Source organism: Homo sapiens, chromosome 1, assembly GCF_000001405.40.
Source record: "Homo sapiens chromosome 1, GRCh38.p14 Primary Assembly".
Lineage (NCBI taxonomy): Eukaryota > Metazoa > Chordata > Mammalia > Primates > Hominidae > Homo > Homo sapiens.
Genome location: NC_000001.11, coordinates 40,761,513 through 40,778,366, shown reverse-complemented (window position 1 = coordinate 40,778,366; position 16,854 = coordinate 40,761,513). Strand labels below are relative to the sequence as shown.

The 16,854-nt window shown below is 46.3% G+C and overlaps 1 protein-coding gene across 36 annotated transcripts in view, besides 2 other annotated features; it reads right to left on the bottom strand.

The window, feature by feature from the left end:
- Window positions 1–6,763: 6,763 nt before the first annotated feature.
- Window positions 6,764–16,854, bottom strand: part of NFYC (nuclear transcription factor Y subunit gamma) — a 79,900-nt gene continuing 69,809 nt past the window's right edge. For 11 of the 36 annotated variants that reach the window (XM_017001365.3, XM_047421368.1, XM_047421353.1 and 8 more), the window contains 5 exons: window positions 15,321–15,479; window positions 11,664–11,771; window positions 11,393–11,449; window positions 8,952–9,011; window positions 6,764–7,970 (listed from right to left, as the gene is read on the bottom strand). In XM_017001365.3, coding sequence (XP_016856854.1) covers window positions 7,539–7,970; window positions 8,952–9,011; window positions 11,393–11,449; window positions 11,664–11,771; window positions 15,321–15,479 — 816 coding nt within the window. In that variant the 3' untranslated portion in view covers window positions 6,764–7,538. The remainder of the gene's footprint in view (window positions 7,971–8,951; window positions 9,012–11,392; window positions 11,450–11,663; window positions 11,772–15,320; window positions 15,480–16,854) is intronic. The other 25 variants (XM_006710661.3, NM_001308115.2, XM_047421358.1 and 22 more) reach the window with 7 other exon arrangements.
- Window positions 13,854–13,953: an enhancer, noted in NCBI's record as "active region_854". NCBI's record gives its function as "activates an Ori minimal core promoter by ATAC-STARR-seq in GM12878 lymphoblastoid cells {active_cell/tissue: GM12878}" and the evidence as "EXISTENCE:reporter gene assay evidence [ECO:0000049][PMID:35858748]".
- Window positions 14,054–14,103: an enhancer, noted in NCBI's record as "active region_853". NCBI's record gives its function as "activates an Ori minimal core promoter by ATAC-STARR-seq in GM12878 lymphoblastoid cells {active_cell/tissue: GM12878}" and the evidence as "EXISTENCE:reporter gene assay evidence [ECO:0000049][PMID:35858748]".

Below are 16,854 nucleotides of genomic sequence, written 5' to 3'. Positions count from 1 at the left end.
TTTTTTTTTGAGACCAGTTCTTGCTCTGTCACCCAGGCTGGAATGCAGTGGTGTGATCTTGGCTTACCGCAACCTCTGCCTCCTGGGTTCAAGCAATTCTCTGCCTCAGCCTCTCGAGTAGCTGAGAATACAGGTGTGTACCACCATGCCTGGCTAATATTTTTATTTTTTGTAGAGATGGGGTTTCACCATGTTGGCCAGGCTGGTCTCGAACTCCTGGCCTCAAAGTGATCTACCAGCCTTGGCTTCCCAAAGTGCTGGGATTACAGGCATGAGCCACCATGCCCAGCTGATAATTAAAAGAAAAAAAAAGTACATATTCAAGCACCAAAAGCAAGAATGGGGAATTGTGTAAGACCATAAGAGGTAATTCCTGGTGGCAAGCAGGAATTGAAGGTGTATTTCTGAGGGGGGGTCCAGTGTCCAGTGGGGTGGGAGGGTGGGAAGTATAGTTGCCAACCTCAAAAATGCCAGGGACAACAGTAGGCTTTCTGCTTAAAGCTGAGTCTGGTAAAGTGCTGCCTGCCGTGAACATTAAAATCTCTGTCTGCTAGCCACCTGGTCCCTGGCTTTAAGCAGAAAGAGGATCCTTATAAGTGTGACACCTCAGTCTGTCCACAGGGGGTGTGGGCTCAGGATTTGATATCCAGGCCATGCAAAAATCCCAAACCAAGACACTGCTATAAGAGCTGATTTGAGGCTGCTGCACTTCCACATGGCTTAGGCACATACAACTGAGAAATCATCCCTTAGGATGGCCTCCACATCCCAGGGCACAATCAGGAAAATGTGCTGAAAATAATCTCAAGGATAAATTCCATAACAGATTAGAAGCACCATACCTTAAGAGACATACCTCTCATGGGAGAATTTATACATAAAGACCTAGAGCTAATGGAGCAATCTGAAAGGAAATTTAATATAGCTAAAATCATCAAAAAGATAAAGGAAGAAGTAGCATATATAAAACAAGAATAGAAAGATATCAAACAGAAACGTAGCAGAAATGAACAGAACTATCTAGAAATTTTAGAAATGAAAACTAAAGTTACTAACATTTTTTAAAAAATCAATAAATAGGTTATCAAATATATCTGAAGAGAATTAATGAATTAGAAGCTAGAACTGAGGAAATCCTTCAGACTGAAGCACAGAATAAAGAGATTAAGCAGATGAAAGAAAAGAGACATAGAAGATTGAATGAGAAAATCTAGCATATGCATTAAGGGTTTCAAAAAGAGATACTGGAAAGAGTGACTGAACTTGCCAAAAATAATCCATGAATTTCTAGATTTAAAAGGCCCACAGACTACCTAGTAAGATATCTTAGAAAACAAAACTCTATCTAGACACCTTGTAGTCAAAGTGTAGAATATCAAGAATAAATAGAAATTCTAAAAGCCACCAGAGAGAAAAGATGGCTTATCTACAAAGGTCCAATAATTGAGTTGACAGTAAACTTCTCATCAGCAACAACAGATGCCAAGAGACAATGGAATCGTATCTTCAAAGTGCTGAGGGCAAATAATTGTGAACCTAGAATTCCATACCTTGCCAAACTGTCACTTAAATGAAAGGGCAAAATTAAGACATTTGACACATACAAGATCTTAGAAAGCTGTTCCACAGACCTTCCCAGAAAGAGAGAACAGGAACTTGGGGGAGGGGCTGGGAGTTCACAGAGATGATGGGCACAGCGCAGGGCCAGGACTCTAAGGAGGGGCTGGAGTCTCAGGGATTGGAGGGAGGCCGGGCTCTGTTTCAGACTTCTCCTCAGCACCAGCCAGACACAGGAGGCCAGCCCAGCCTGGCCCAGCTCAGGTTCTTCCCTCCTGAGTGCCAGCCTTACTGTCCTTCTGTCCCCTCTTCCTAAGCCATGGCAGTGGAACAGCACCCAAGCTGGGGAAGACACCAGCAGCCTAGCACACGAGGCCTTGAGGAAGCCATGGCCAAGTTGCTCATGTGACTGGGCACTGGGCCTCCACAGGAGGGTCCACTCCTCTTAGGAGATCAGATGCCACCTCACTGAGGCCTATAGATGGCTGGAGCTGTGGGACAAAAGCTAGGTCCCTACTCAAGAGTTGGTGGGAAGGGGACTCTCATTCTCTGTAGGAAAATAATCACAAATGGAGGGGACAAAACCCATGGGGGCTGGGCCAGCTGACACAGGAGGCTTCTAGGAGCATCTGGCTCCAGGCAACCAGCTGGTGCCCTTGGGTAATATTTTAACATGTTTGAGACCCAGTTTCTTACTTATAAAATAGGGAGAATGCCTACCTAACGAGGATGTGAAGATGAAATGAGAATCCATGAGTACCAAGCTTTAGATGTATTTTCTTTTCTTTTCTTTTCTTTTCTTTTTTTTTTTGAGACAGGGTCTCATTCTGTCACCCAAGTGATCCTCCCTGGCTCAAGCAATCCTCCTGTCTCAGCCTCCCAAGTAGCTAGGATTACAGGCACGCACCACCACACCCGATTAATTTTTGTATTTTTTATAGAGATGGGGTTTCACCATGTTGCCCAGGCTGGTCTCAAACTCCTGACCTCAAGTGATCCTCCTGCCTCCATCTCCCAAAGTGCTAGGATTACTGGCATAAGCCACCATGCCTGGCCTTAGACATATTTTCCTAGACAGAAATTTCTTAAACAATAATCTCCATTGAACACCCCTGCCTGGCATATTATCAGAGCTCAATAAAAAATTGTTAATAAGAGCTGGGCACGGTGGCTCACGCCTGTAATACCAGCACTTTGGGAGGCCAAGGTGGGCGGATCACGAGGTCAAGAGATCGAGACCATTCTGGCCAACATGGTGAAACCCCGTCTCTACTAAAAATACAAAAATTAGCTGGGCGTGGTGGCGGGCGCCTGTAGTCCCAGCTACTCAGGAGGCTGAGGCAGGAGAATCACTTGAACCCGGGAGGCGGAGGTTGCAGTGAGCTGAGATCGCGCCACTGCACTCCAGCCTGGCAACAGAGCGAGATTCCATCTGAAAAAAAAACAAACAAAAATTGTTAAGAAAAAAATGTCATGGTGAGAGCAGATGAGCAGAGGTGGGAATGTGCGCAGTGTGGCTGCAAGGATGGCTTTGTGTTCATTCACTCACTCATCAGTTACTGTTACCCCCTTGGTGCCAGGCTCTGTGCTGCACTCCAGCGGTGCAGAGATGACCCTGGACTTGAGAACTCCCTGTGAGGAAGACAGCCCAAACCAGAAAACACTAACAGAGGATAGAGGGTTTCTTTAGAGGCTAACTTGGTCTTTTGTTTGTTGTCTCTCTCCCCAACCCAACCCCTGCCCTCAACCCAATCATCAATATAAGCTCCATGGTAGCAGAGAAGTCAGACTTGTTTTAAGCTGTATTCACAATGTTTAAAACAACGTCTGACACACAGAAGGTGCCAAAGAAATAGCTGCTGAATGACTGTATATGAGCTCTAATAATAGAGGTTGTAGAAGTTCACATGGGAGCACTGAAGAGGTCTTTGCTGACTCTGGCTCAGGAATTAGAAGTTTCTCGGCAAGGGCCATTTAAATTGGGCCTTGATGGATGTATAGGAGCTCAATAAGTGAAAAGGGAAGTAAAAGGGCATTTCAGGAATTGTAGCTAGCACATTCTGAAAACATGGAGCTAAGTTCAGGGATCAGTGAGTAATTGGGTGTGACAGGAGCATAGAGTACAGGAGGTGGTGAGGGAGAGGAGAGTGAAAAGAAACAAAGCTGGGGAGATAAGAAGGACCTTGAACCAACTTGGGCTGTCAGAAAGTCCTTATTAAAATCTAACCACCTACCTTGAGGCAATACTCTGGAGAGGGTAGAGTTTCCAGCTCTCACTGTTATCCTAGGGAGGACCCTCCCTTCAAAGGGTGAGGGTCTTATCAGGAAGTGGGTTAAGAAAGGGGACAGTCATACTCCCACTAGTTCCTAGAATTGTCTACAGTTGGGATGACAGTGGGACAGGGCACCTCCCAGAGACACAGGTGAGGGCTGCATGCTGCCCCCTTGTGGCCTCCGCAGACCTGAGCTGCAAGGAAGCCAGCCAGATTGTCTGCTCCAGATTCCAGGGGTCTCCAATCTCCAAGGTCATCCTTGTGGCAAGTTCCCAACCACCAGCTGTCCCCAGACCAGACCCAACTGCTTTATTTATTTCATGTATACTCAAGGCTGGGCCAGTCAGTTCAGGAAGACTGACTAAAAGGGGATAGTTCACATTTCAATAGCCTGCTTCTTTCTTACACATATACATGTCACCTTTGGCCAGAGAGCAACTGTGTATGCACAGGGGGTCAGGAGATCAGTGTTTTGGTTTCAATTCCACCCTCAATTCATGGAGTGACCTTGGGCAAGTCACTGCACTTCACTAGCCCTCCCATGACTCCATCGCTAACACAGGGATCATGATACCTCTTCCTGTCTCCCCTGCAGGGTCACTGTGAAGATCATCGGGAGGGAGGACGGATGCTGCAAGTGCTAGGAAAAATGTTTAAAGAGTGCTCCGGATGTAAGGGGATCGTGCTGGGTATTAGATAGGGGCTCTCTTGGGCTGCGCCAAAGGGTTTGTTTACACCAGGATGGGCCCTGCTGGCAGGGCAATTTAAAGGGAAAGTGTTCAGCAGGGAAGCTGCTTGCTAATCACAACTGATCAAAACATCTCTAAAACAAGAATGGAAGTCTACAGGAAAATGGGGACCCATTCATTGGCCTGAAACTCCAATCACACTTGGGTTTTCAGGAATGAACCAAAGAGCAAACAAGGTGGGACACAGGGCACCATGAAATTAAATTGTGGAGGTTCTGCCTTTTCTCTGAGCCTGGGGCCCCTCTGCATGTTCACTTTCTCCCTCTTACATTCCCTGCACACAGGGCTAGGCACACGGCTATCAGTGAAAACTTGCTATTATATGATGTCTCGCTAAGACTGAGTTCTGGACAGCTGGAAAGGCCAGAAGACCCCCTTCAGAATAAAGTCCAGAGCTAGAATGAAGGTAACTAGATATAGAAGGAGGGAATGAATTTGGGAGTTGCGAGCAGGTTGGGGCTGACCCTGACTCACTGTTATGGGGGCCAACTTACTGACTTCTCATGGTGAACTGTCACCTGCTTTACCTACCCTGGTGACACTCCATGTCATTTTGGATAGACAGCATCATGTATCCAAAACCTTAAAGCTAAAAAAACTTTGCTTTTGAAAAAAAAAAAAAAGTTATCTGTCTTTCTTTTATAATGTGAATCCTTTACCTGGTCTCATCTCTTTTTGCTCTGGTGGCCAGGAAGCTCAGGGTCAAATAATTCTAACAAATACGTAGGTCTTTATAACCATGATATCTGTGTTCTTGTTTTCTATAATCCTGATTTCCTACTCAATTGTATTTTTCCTAATTCTAATTTGTTTTACTTTATTATTTCATTGTGTTGTTTTCATTGCAATTTTTTCTTATGGACTGAGGTAAGGCATAGTGAAGTAGATGCTGAGTATTTTATAAGCTACCATCATCAAGACAATATAGGCAACAGGATGCCCCAATCTGGAGTAAAGAGCAGAGCTGGCCAGACTTGAATCTAGGCAAAGTATTTAAGCAGATCCCAGAAATCTGGGGAATCTCCTGGGAGGAAGATCAGAGGGCAGTAATCTGAAACTACTTGTTGAAAACTAACTCATGTCTTATCCCCATGGTTTACAGTGGATATTTCATAAGATAATCATAAAAGCATCAGGTTCAGACTTGAAATCATCTAATATAAGCCCTTCCCCAATTTCCACCTCACCCACTGAGACAGTCCCAAAGACAAGGGAGGTATTTGCCCATGGGTTTAGGGCAAATACCTACATTTCCTGGCACCCAGCTCACTGTTCTTCCCACAACAGCAGCTCATTCCAGCTGGAAGGATGGCATGGTGGAGGTAAGAAAGATGGCTCATCACTGGCCTCTGTGGCCAATGAAGTGGAATGCTCTCTCTATTCTCCCTGCTTCAATTAACAGGAAGTAGGTCTTGGCTGTAGAACTCTTGGCTGACAAGGGGCCTGGGTTGTTCTCTATGGCAGATGCCATGCCTTTGTTAATGGGCATGGCCACAGCAGGTAGCTGAATGATAGCCTGTGCCAGGCAGGACTGGAAGGATTTACCCCAGGCTTTGACGGAGCCAGCTTTCTCCATGAGAGATGCCCCCTTCTTGACCCTCAACCAGGCAGGACACAGCTCAGTCTGATACACGGGTCAGAATCTAGTGAGTCCAGCAGGCAAGCATCTCTGAGCAGCAAATATATTCTGATGAAGCTCACTTTTAAGACCAGCCGAGGTAGGCCAGGCACAGTGGCTCATGCCTGTAATCCCAGTACTTTGGGAGGCTGACGTGGGAGGATCACTTGAGCCCAGGAGTTCAAGACCAGCCAGGGCAATACAGTGAAACCGTGTCTCTACAAATAAAAAATAAAAAAAATTAGCTGGGCATGGTGGTACCTGACTGTAGTCCTAGCAATTCAGGAGGCTGGGGTGGGAGGATTGCTTGAGCCCAGGAGATTGATGCTGCAGTGAGCAGTGATCACACCACTGCACTCCAGCCTGGGCAACAGAGCCAGAAAAAAAAAGATCGGCTAAGGACCTCAGTTTGAATTAGGTACACAGCATTAAGTTCCCTTAGCTTTGAACATCTCCTTCTCACAAGGGTGGCCCTCTCTCCCAGACACACAAACTGAGGGCAAATGAACCTTTCCAAGCAAAGTGGCCCCATGAATGCCCCCAGACACAGAAACCCAGACTCTAAATTATCTAAAATGAGATTTATTGCATTTCATGCAGCTTGAAGTCCATGCAAAGGAGACTAGCACAGTTTTTAATGCATTTAAAAAATAAAAGGGAGGTGGGCAGCAAACACACAAAGTCCTAGTTTCCTGGGTCCCTGGGAGAAAAGAGTGTGGCAATGAATCCACCCACTCTCCACAGGGAATAAATCTGTCTCTTAAATGCAAAGAATGTTTCCATGGCCTCTGGATGCAAATACACAGAGCTCTGGGGTCAGAGCAAGGGATGGGGAGAGGACCACGAGTGAAAAAGCAGCTACACACATTCACCTAATTCCATCTGAGGGCAGAACAACGTGGCAAGTCTTGGGGGTAGCAGCTGTTCCCAGAGTCAAGAAATACCGTACACCCCTGGGGAGATTTGCTCCTAAAAAGAAGTGGCAGTAACAAACAAAAAAAAAAGAAAAACAAAAGGAGAAATATTTCTTCAACCACACTCTTCAAGAAAATGCCATAAATATGTTATTTAATATTTTAATTTCATAGCATTGGACACACACTCAACATATTGAAATATTGATTCCTTAGAGAAAAAAATGGAAAAAAAGGAAACAAAAAATATTGCATCTTTCTGCTGGAGAATCTCGGCCCCCAGGCATGGGGTGTAGTGCACCAGTGTCCTAGCCTGCAGGAGGCGCTGAGGTCGGCCGGGTCCTCTGGGGAGGAAGGCTGTGCCCATTGCCTGGGGCTGTATGGCAAAAATTGTGTTGGGTGTCCTTGGCCTTGCCAGCTCAGGCCCTCAGTCGCCGGTCACCTGGGGGGCCTGCCCGTCGGAGGGCTGGTTGGCTGACTGGATGAACATGGGCTGGGCGAGGTCCTGGCCCGCAGGCATGGTGACTTGCTGGATCTGGTAGAGCTGCTGCGAGGGGTGGAGAGGAGAGAGTGAGGTCATCCCTGGGAGAGGGGCATGCAGCTCCCTATGGGTCTCGAGCTGGTTGGGGGTCCCAGATACCTCAACCACCACCCACTGCAAGGCGTCAGAAGGAGGAGGGGAAGTGGAGCTCTGCTGGGGTTGGGAGCAGCAGACACAGGAGGCACCAGCCCGGTGTGAGGGGGGGTGTGTGGTGGGCAGGGAAGAGGTGCAGGGAGTTGAATTTCCTGTGGCTTTCACTTCTCTGGGCTCTGCCTCTCCCGTTAGCTCAGAGACTCGAGCTTGCTGCACGCTGTTCCTCTGTGGCAAACACAAGCAATTCGAACCACTGTACCAGCAGCTTGGAAGTCAGCATTTCCCCAACTCTTGGTAATCTACACTGGCAGGGGCAGTAGGATTACCCCCTCCTCTCCTTCTTTTCTCAGAATATCTGGCTCAGGTTGAAACTAAACTGAATTTGAATTTTCTCCATGGACCCTGCTAAGGAGGTGGCCTGGTATTAAACACTTAACTATAGCCAAGACGCTCCAGGGGTGGAGAAGATACTCACACAGCCACTTAGGAAGGTCAGGGCTAATTGACTACTTGGTTTCCCAGGCGCTCCCCAAAGAAGCCAAAAGCCAAGCCCTCATGGGAGCCCTGGCATGTAAGCCTAGCATGTGGTGCTGGCAGAAGCCAGAGGTGGGTCCTGATGCCAGCTCTTCTCCCTTTTGAGCAGCAGAGGGCACAAGTTTGGGCATGTCATCCTATCATGTCCTCAGTGGTCTCTGGGACTGTACTGTGAGGGGAAAGCAGAGGGAAAAGGGAAGATTCTCTCCTCGCATGGACTGAAAATGACTGAATTTCAGGCACCCAGAGAGCTCAAGAGGTCACGTGTTCTCTGCGTCTCAACAGTCCATGCTATTAAAACAGCATCATGGCTTAGAGGGGAAAAAAATACAGTTCTAGAGAGGGAAACAGGAAACCTGCTCTCTAGTCCTGGCTCTGCAATGAACATCTAGGGGAGCATGGACAAGGCACTTCCCATCTCCAGGGTTCAGTTTACTCATCTGTAAAATGGCAATTTGGGCTACATGTCTAAGATTATTTTAGTTCCCACTAAGTCTATAAAACTAAAGGATAGGTGCCCTGATTTAAATACCGTACTTGTTTTAACAATTTCTGTCCACTCACTGTTAGTAGAGGACAGGACAGTTGCCCTAACCATCCAAACCCAGATACTACCTGCTACCCTGCCCCGCAAATCCTCACCCTCTGCCCAGCCCAGGTTGGGTACCCTACCTGTCCATCTGTGAACTGGCTGAACTGCTGCTGTCCTTGCTGGACCTCTGTCTGTGTAATCTGTAAGAATCAAGATGGTAGAGTTGGTATGTCAGCTGCAGGGTCTGATCCACCAGCCCACCACCCAAAAGAGGGTCATAAAGATCAAATGAGACAATGCATATAAAGTGCCCAGCAGGTGCTCAATGGGTAGTAAGCAAGCAAGCACCCCTCCTAATCTAGCACTGATGGCTACGTCAAGAGTTGGCAGCACAAAGTGACATCGAGAATCCTGGAGCACATAATAGATAGTTCCCACACCCATCTCTCTAATGAATGCCTACTCCCTCAACCACCCACTCATCTCAAACTCTGAGGCTCAAACAGAACACATGGACCCTAGGTGCTATGGTTTGGGGTAGAAGTCCTAAGAGTCAGTCTTTCAGCCAGTGAAGGCGGACTGCAAAGTGTCAGACAAAGTGGTAAGTGGCCTCTTTCATTCTTGGAAGGTGGGCTCCAAACCAAACCCGTATCACCCAGATCATCTGACTGGAATATGAAACACCCTGGCGAGCAAGTGGCCTTGGTCCCAGCAGTCCTCATGGCAAACCTATGAAGTACTTTTTCCGAGAGAGGCACTGTGCAGCCCTCTGGGCCAAAGGAGGGGAGGAGAAAAGGGGAGGGACCGGGAGTGGAACAAAGACAACATTTATCACAAGTACTTAAAATCTTATGTGTGGACTGTGAATGGATTTTAGATAAATGTACTGACATGTAGAACTGCATATATAATGACAACTGCTGGGAGCAGCTCGGTAAACTAGAAAGAAGACTGCGGTGTGCATGCACATGTGTTCCTATGGAACATTTGGCCAGCAGTGTCCTCTGTGTACCATTTCCTGGAATCATCACAGCCAGCCTGCAAGACAAGGACTGTCCTCTCAAATGTCCTCACCATGGCCAAAAACAACCCCTGCAGGCCTACCCATGAGGCTATGAGGAACAAGAAAGGGAACAGGTATGACAGGCTTCATGACTATTTTTTACTATTGTTCCTTATTTTGGTCCTTTTCCTTCCAACAGCCTATAAGATGCCTGAGGGCAGGAGCCCATACAAAGTTAGTATTCCAGAAATGTTGCAGAATAAACAAGTGAGCCTGAGACAAATGGAAAATATTCCACATAGATAAGAAGGTTAACTGCTCTGTGGCCAGCAGGATTGCCATTCATATTAGCTGAGATTTCATTTACCTTTACATTTTATTTACATATTATTCATTCAGCTTCATTCAACAAACATTTACTGAGCACCTACTAAGTATTAGGTTGTCATAATTACAACCTGTTGTTACAAAGATTTTCATTGCCTTCAGCTACCACTTTCTTGCTTCTCCCCAGCCTCTCCCATTTTTTGGCTTTAGTTCTGTTCCCAAAACGGACTTTTTTTAATTTTTATTTTTTGAGACAGAGTCTCACTCTGTCGCCCAGGCTGGAGTGCAGTGGCACAATCTCAGCTCACTGCAACCTCCACCTCCTGGGTTCAAGTGATTCTTGTGTCTCAGCCTCCCAAGTAGCTGGGATGACAGGCATGCACCACCACGCCCAGCTAATTTTGTATTTTTAGTGGAAACGGTTTTGCCATGTTGGCCAGGCTGGTCTCAAACTCCCGACCTCATGTGATCACCTGCCTCAGCCTCCCTCCCAAAGTGCTGGGATTACAGGCGTGACCCACTGTGCCCAGCCCCAAACTGACTTCTGAGGAACCAAGAAGCTTCCTTCTCATTTCCTCCCACTCCCATGCCGTTATGTTTTTTGGATCCCAGGGAAGAATCTTATGAGGTTAAAAAGAGGGGCTGGGGGAAGGGTGTGAGTCAGTATCAGCTACGGAAAAGCCGCGTCCTTAGGTAAGCCGGGGAGTGGGCACAGAAACAGCCCTTAATGATCCCAGAGACTATATGGAACTCAGAAGCCTTGCTTTTGGCTCATTCCTCGTATTTTCCCAAATGAGATCTTTGGAGACCTGCTCTACAAACTCAGCTCTGTCACCACTGTCAATAGATACATCACCAGAAATGCAACTGGGCCAGACGGGTCCAGCTCTTAAACGATCGCTGCTTTTTTTGGGTCTGAGGCAAAAGAATCCATTAACAATGCCTCCCCTTGACCAGCACCCCCCATCTTCTGCAAGTAATACCCATGTCCCTCAACACCCCCAAGCCCAGGGAGGCAGCCCCCTCACCATCTGTGACTCATAGCCATCAATATTGTAGGGCACGAGAGGAGAGGAGAAGGGCAATTTTTCTGGTTAGGGATGCAAGAGGAGGTAGGGGTAAAATCTAAGTAAGCTTTCCAAAGAGCACAGGAGGTGCCAGAACACAACAGCCACTTGGGTTTAAAGATGGAAACAGCCTGACGATCAGGCGATCTGTCGAACATTTCCCAGGTCTGATGGGTGTGCACACCTGTAAGGTTTCTTTCAGGCACCTTCGAGGCTTCCCCTGACTTGCATTTCTTTGCCCCTTGAGAACAAGATGGTAAGAGAAAACACTTTGAATCTAATGTTCCAATTACCACCCATGCCTCTTGGGTGCAGAAGGATATGGAGGGTGTGGGGGTGGTGCTTCTGGTTGAAGGATGAGGTGGCAAGACAGCTGTGTGCTGAGCGCTCCTTTCCTGTCAGAAGCCATCTGCTCCTGGTCTCCAACACAGGCCTTGTGTCTCTGGGGCACATACCTGTTGAGCATTGGTGGCAAGTGTCTGGATCTGTCCCTGCACAACTTGAGTGCCTGATACAGGCTGGGCTAAGCGGATATACTGCAGCTGGCCGGCATTCAGCTGCACCTAGGGCAGGGGCAGAGACAAAGAGACCATAAGACATTGAGTATAATCTCAAACAGGCAAACTTTCCATGACCAGAGATGTTGATTGCCCCCTACCCCTCAAGCCCTCCAAAGAAGCCTGCCCTGAAAAAAGTCCCTTTTAAACAGAGGTCAAAACAAGCAAAATCAGAACATCCACATCCCACAAGTCACACAGCACAGAAGAGAATATATTCCCTGAATGGACTTCAGAAAAAACTCCCAGAAGATCCTGTCACAAAGGTGAGAACAGCATGGCTGCATGCTCATTATTTGCCAGCTCTTAGCTACATGATCACAGCTTATCTTAGGAATTTATCTGACTGACATCATCAGAATGCCTGTACATTAAGTGTGGGCCTCTTTCGCTCCCATCTGTAAAGAGATCCAGCATCTGCCAGGATCCCAAAGCAAACAGCCATCATTCCGCATCATAGCCCTCACACTGCCCTGCCCCATGCTGCACATTTTGGAGGCAAAAGCTGGACTGCTTAACCATCTCTGTCCCCAAGAGCCAGGCTGGATGGGGGTCTGTGGGGCTTTTAGGATCTTTGGTGTTCAGCACTAGCTTCTGGCCAAACACCTCCCAAGGGGAAGCAGAATCAATAAACCTTTCATAGAAAACCCCATCATGGGAAACCAAAGCTACGAAAGCGCCCTTAGAGTCTCTCATGCTTACGATTAAATCTCAGATAATACAATAATACCACATGCTGCATTTAATTGTGTGCTAAAAGCCTTAACTCAGGCTCTTAATGCTCCAGTGTACCATGAAAGTATTAGTGTTTTGAGCTGGGGATGAAAAGAGGACCAAGGCGGTTACCACATCAGAGAACTGTAGCTCAGCAAAGATGATGGTCAGCAGAGGAGGACTGCAGACATTCACACCCTCAATTTAGAGGAAATGAAAGGGGTTCTGGGAGCATGGATAGACTAGGTCTCTATCTGCGGGGTCCAGAAACCACCTGCCCTGGCTGCCCAGCCTGCCTTTGTTGCAAGGGGAAGCTTCTTGTGGCTAACAGGCAAGTATTGCCTCTGCTCTGGAGCAAATTTCCCTCTGGCCTTCAAGAGCTAACTTCACTGCAGGACTCTTCCATGAGGAAAATGCTAATGGGATGAAGCTGCATTCCTGCACGCAGTGTTCAATCAAAATGCTTCTCTGAGACTTCCAGCCTCACAGAATTTGAACTACCGAGAAAAAACGACCTCTCAAGTTCACGGTAGACCATTCCAGAATTGCCCACTTGAGGCAAGATGGAGGGACACCCAATCTAAACCCATTAAAAATCTGGTTCAAAGGAGACAGGGCAAGAGTATTAGGACCTGCAGTCATTTCTTTCCTGAGAATATGCCAAGAGAAGCTGCTGGGAGGCTGTGGTGCCAAGCCTGAATTCCCCACCTAAATCCTATAATGCAGCTTCCTGGCAACAATGTTAAGTTGCTTGTGGGGAGGAAGGCAGCTGGGCAGAAGTTTGGAAAACCTCATCTACAGAGACTGATGGTGGCTAGTTCCAGGAGTCCCCAGAACTCCAGCCAGGGATCACAAGATGAAAAACTAAAGCCTTGTCCCAGGAGTGGGAGAAGGTATACTGACAGCTACAGGGATGTTAAAATTTTCTAGCTGGGAAGAGCTCTTTGCAGAAACCCAAATGTGACTGAAAAGCTGTGAGCCAAATGGTTCCAAGCAGCTCTTCAACAAAGCAAGAAGCTTTCCTTTTTGGCCTAGGTTAAGACATTTGGTGATGATCCGTCCCTCATTCCTCTACAGCAGGACAGGTCTGGGGACCCTCATAGCTTTTTTACATTAATTACAGAGAAAATAAGCTCTGGGTTTTTGAAAGGGAAATAAAGTTTCCTTCCTGAAGCTCATCACTATTAGGAACATTCCAATGAGCTGCCTAAAGAGTCTGGAAATGAAGACTCCTACAGAAGGTGCCTGAGCCAGTGAAGATGAAGTAGTGAATTCTGCAACAAATCTTCTGGGCTAAAGCTCTGTGCCCCAGAGAGTTAAAGTATCTGCAAGGTGGAACTCTTCTCTGTCTTAAATGAACCTGTGGTGGTGCCTTCGCTTGCAAAAATGAGAACCATTCAACAGAAATCTTGGGGTTGAGGACTGAAACAATGAAGCAAGGCAGAGCTCAGTCATCTGCAATCCTGGGTATCGTAAGCACACGTGAGAGAGGTAGAGAAAGAGACATACACACTCCACTTTCCTAAGCTTTCTCTTGGCCTATTACTATGTTAACTTCAGATGAAGAACAATTCCTAAACTGATCTCAGGATACTTTTAGAGTTATTTTCACAGAGGAAGTGGTTAACCAAGTCTACGTGAGTTTCTATACCTGCCTACGTTTCATTTATGACAAAAATGGCAAAGGGCAGGGAATAGAAGGACTGCTCTGTTTCACTCACTTTCCAGTTTTGGGGGGTCAAAATGACCAATGTAAAGACTGCAAGTGTTAAGACAAGGACACATTTTACAAAAGGAGTACAAATAAAAAAGCCAACAAATCTAAGAAATGAAATCCCTCAAGGCACACAGGAAGCAGCAGTCCACAGTAAAGGAATAGATAAGTTATATGAAAGCCAAAAATACACTTTGCTGCAGGCTCCACTGGGAACTGACTCATGAATATGCAACAAGTGTATTTATGGCCTTCCCTATACGCCTCCCTCTTATCCTCTGCTAATCAAATACAGGACTGCCTCACAGGGCCTTTGGGCCTTGGCATGGGTAGTGGTTACAATGATTTCCCTGCATAGGTAGAATGAGGGGAAATCGAGAGAAGCCGCCCAATCGTGGTGAACCTGAACCTAGATTAAAGGAAAGCAGGGAACAAACACAGTGAAGCAAGTTGTGGTCAGGAACACTGGGCATATAGGTTAAAAACAAAACAAACACACACACGCATATATATAAATAAGTACTGAGGGCTGGGCGTGATGGCTCATGCCTGTAATCCCAGCACTTTGGGAGGCCGAGGCGGGCGGATCACCTGAGGTTAGGAGTTAGAGACCAGCCTGGCCAACACTGTGAAACCCCATCTCTACTAAAAATACAAAAATCAGCCGGGCATAGTGGCACGTGCCTATAATCCCAGCTACTCGGGAGGCTGAGGCAGGAGAATCGCTTGAACCTGGGAGGCGGAAGCTGCAGTGAGCTGAGATCAAGCCACTGCACTTCATCAGTCTGAGTGACACAGCAAGACCTGTCTCCTAAAAAGAAAAAAAGGATTATGCATGCGTGTGATATATATCTCTATATATATATCAAGGTATATATATAGCTACAGATATATATATCAAGGTATATATATAGCTATAGATATACATATCAAGGTATATATAGAGACATACATATATATATCAAGGTATATATATAGCTATAGATATATATATCAAGGTATATATATAGCTATAGATATACATATCAAGGTATATATAGAGATATACATATATATATCAAGGTATATATATCTTTAAGTATTTCCTTCTATAAAGTTGTAAAGACAGACCTCAGGGCAGGACTCACCGGGATCTGCTGGATCTCTCCTGTGTTAGTGATGATCTGCTGCATCACCTGCATGGTCTGTCCAGTGCCACTCTGGGCCTGTTGGGCTTGACCCTGTGGCTGAGCCTGGACAATCTGCACCTGCTGACCTTCTCCAACCTGCATTGTCACAGGTGTGGTCTGAAAGGAAGAGTTATGAGAATGCTGCGTGAGTTCAGGCTCAGAGCCCACAGGATTACCGAGAGGTTAATAACGAGCAATGTGCTGGGAGCAAACCCTCTCCATGAATGCCTAAGGTCATCTCAGTACTAGTAATAACCTACAGAGTCCTCTGGGTTTACAGCATTGCTGAAGTTACTCTCCAAAACGAAAGAAAAACCAAAAATATTTTTAGGCTCACAGTACAAATATTTGCATGGGTCCCAAACATAAATCTCTGTGCCCCAAATGCTGCAACTTTTCACAGCCCCTTTAGTGATAAGGCACATACACTACAGAAAAAATCAAAAGCAACCATGACCGTTTACTTCAGAAATAGCCAAAGTCAAGTCTGGGGCAGGTGAATTTGGAGGGGAACATTAAATGGAAAGGGTCAGTATGAATTTATTTAGTTCAGGGTCATGTGCTCTTTCTTAGGCATGTAAGACACTGAGAGAAAAATAAAGCACAGGGGTGCATCTCCAAGGCGGGCCCTAGTGCACGCTGGCTCTCACCCCATTCAAGCTGCAGAGCAATTCCTGCCCACACTGGCCAGATGGCTGCTCTGGACCACAGTATGGCTTCCCAAAGGAGAGCAAACACTGCTAACTCACTGGGCACTGTTAAGACACAGACTCTTAACTAAGTCTACCCCTAATTAATAGAATTTAAGAAAGCAAGAACTCTAACTTTCTAAAAATAGCAATCTCAGATTTAAGAAATTTCTGCCCAATGTGTATGACTTGGCAGATTCTGTCTCTCACACACAATGGTTGTAGTCCTATGAAATGTACTCTTTTGAGACGGTAAAGACACAAGCTGCCAAAAGGGTCAATTATTCTTTCAAATCTCAAACCTTTAGTACTGTTTGTGACTTTTACAGGTTACCTAGAGCAGTGAGCCTATCTGGGCTCATCTGGTGGTGGTAGTGATGGGGGGTGGCGGGGGTGTGGGCGTGGGTGGAGCCTTTTAAACTACACCTGTACACCCAATCCCTGACTTGAATTCCATCACTATCTCTCCTCACTTTGAATTAATCACCTCAATAAGAAGACTATGGAACTCTCAATGAATCATAAACTTCAACCGATGTTGCTATTCTGATGTTCTTAATTCTGACTGCATAGGTTACTGAAAATTACAACTATGCATCCAAAGTTACAAGGGAAGGGGATGTGTTCTGGGAACGACAGATGAGATTCAAGGGATTACTACGGAGAAATTACTATAAACTGGAGGAGGGCCAAAAAGAAAGACGACAGAGTGTTCTAAAAGTACATGCAGTGGGCTAGGCTAACAGAAAACATTTCTTCCATTCTTGTACCACAATTTTCAACTCAGCCTATTCCCAACCTCC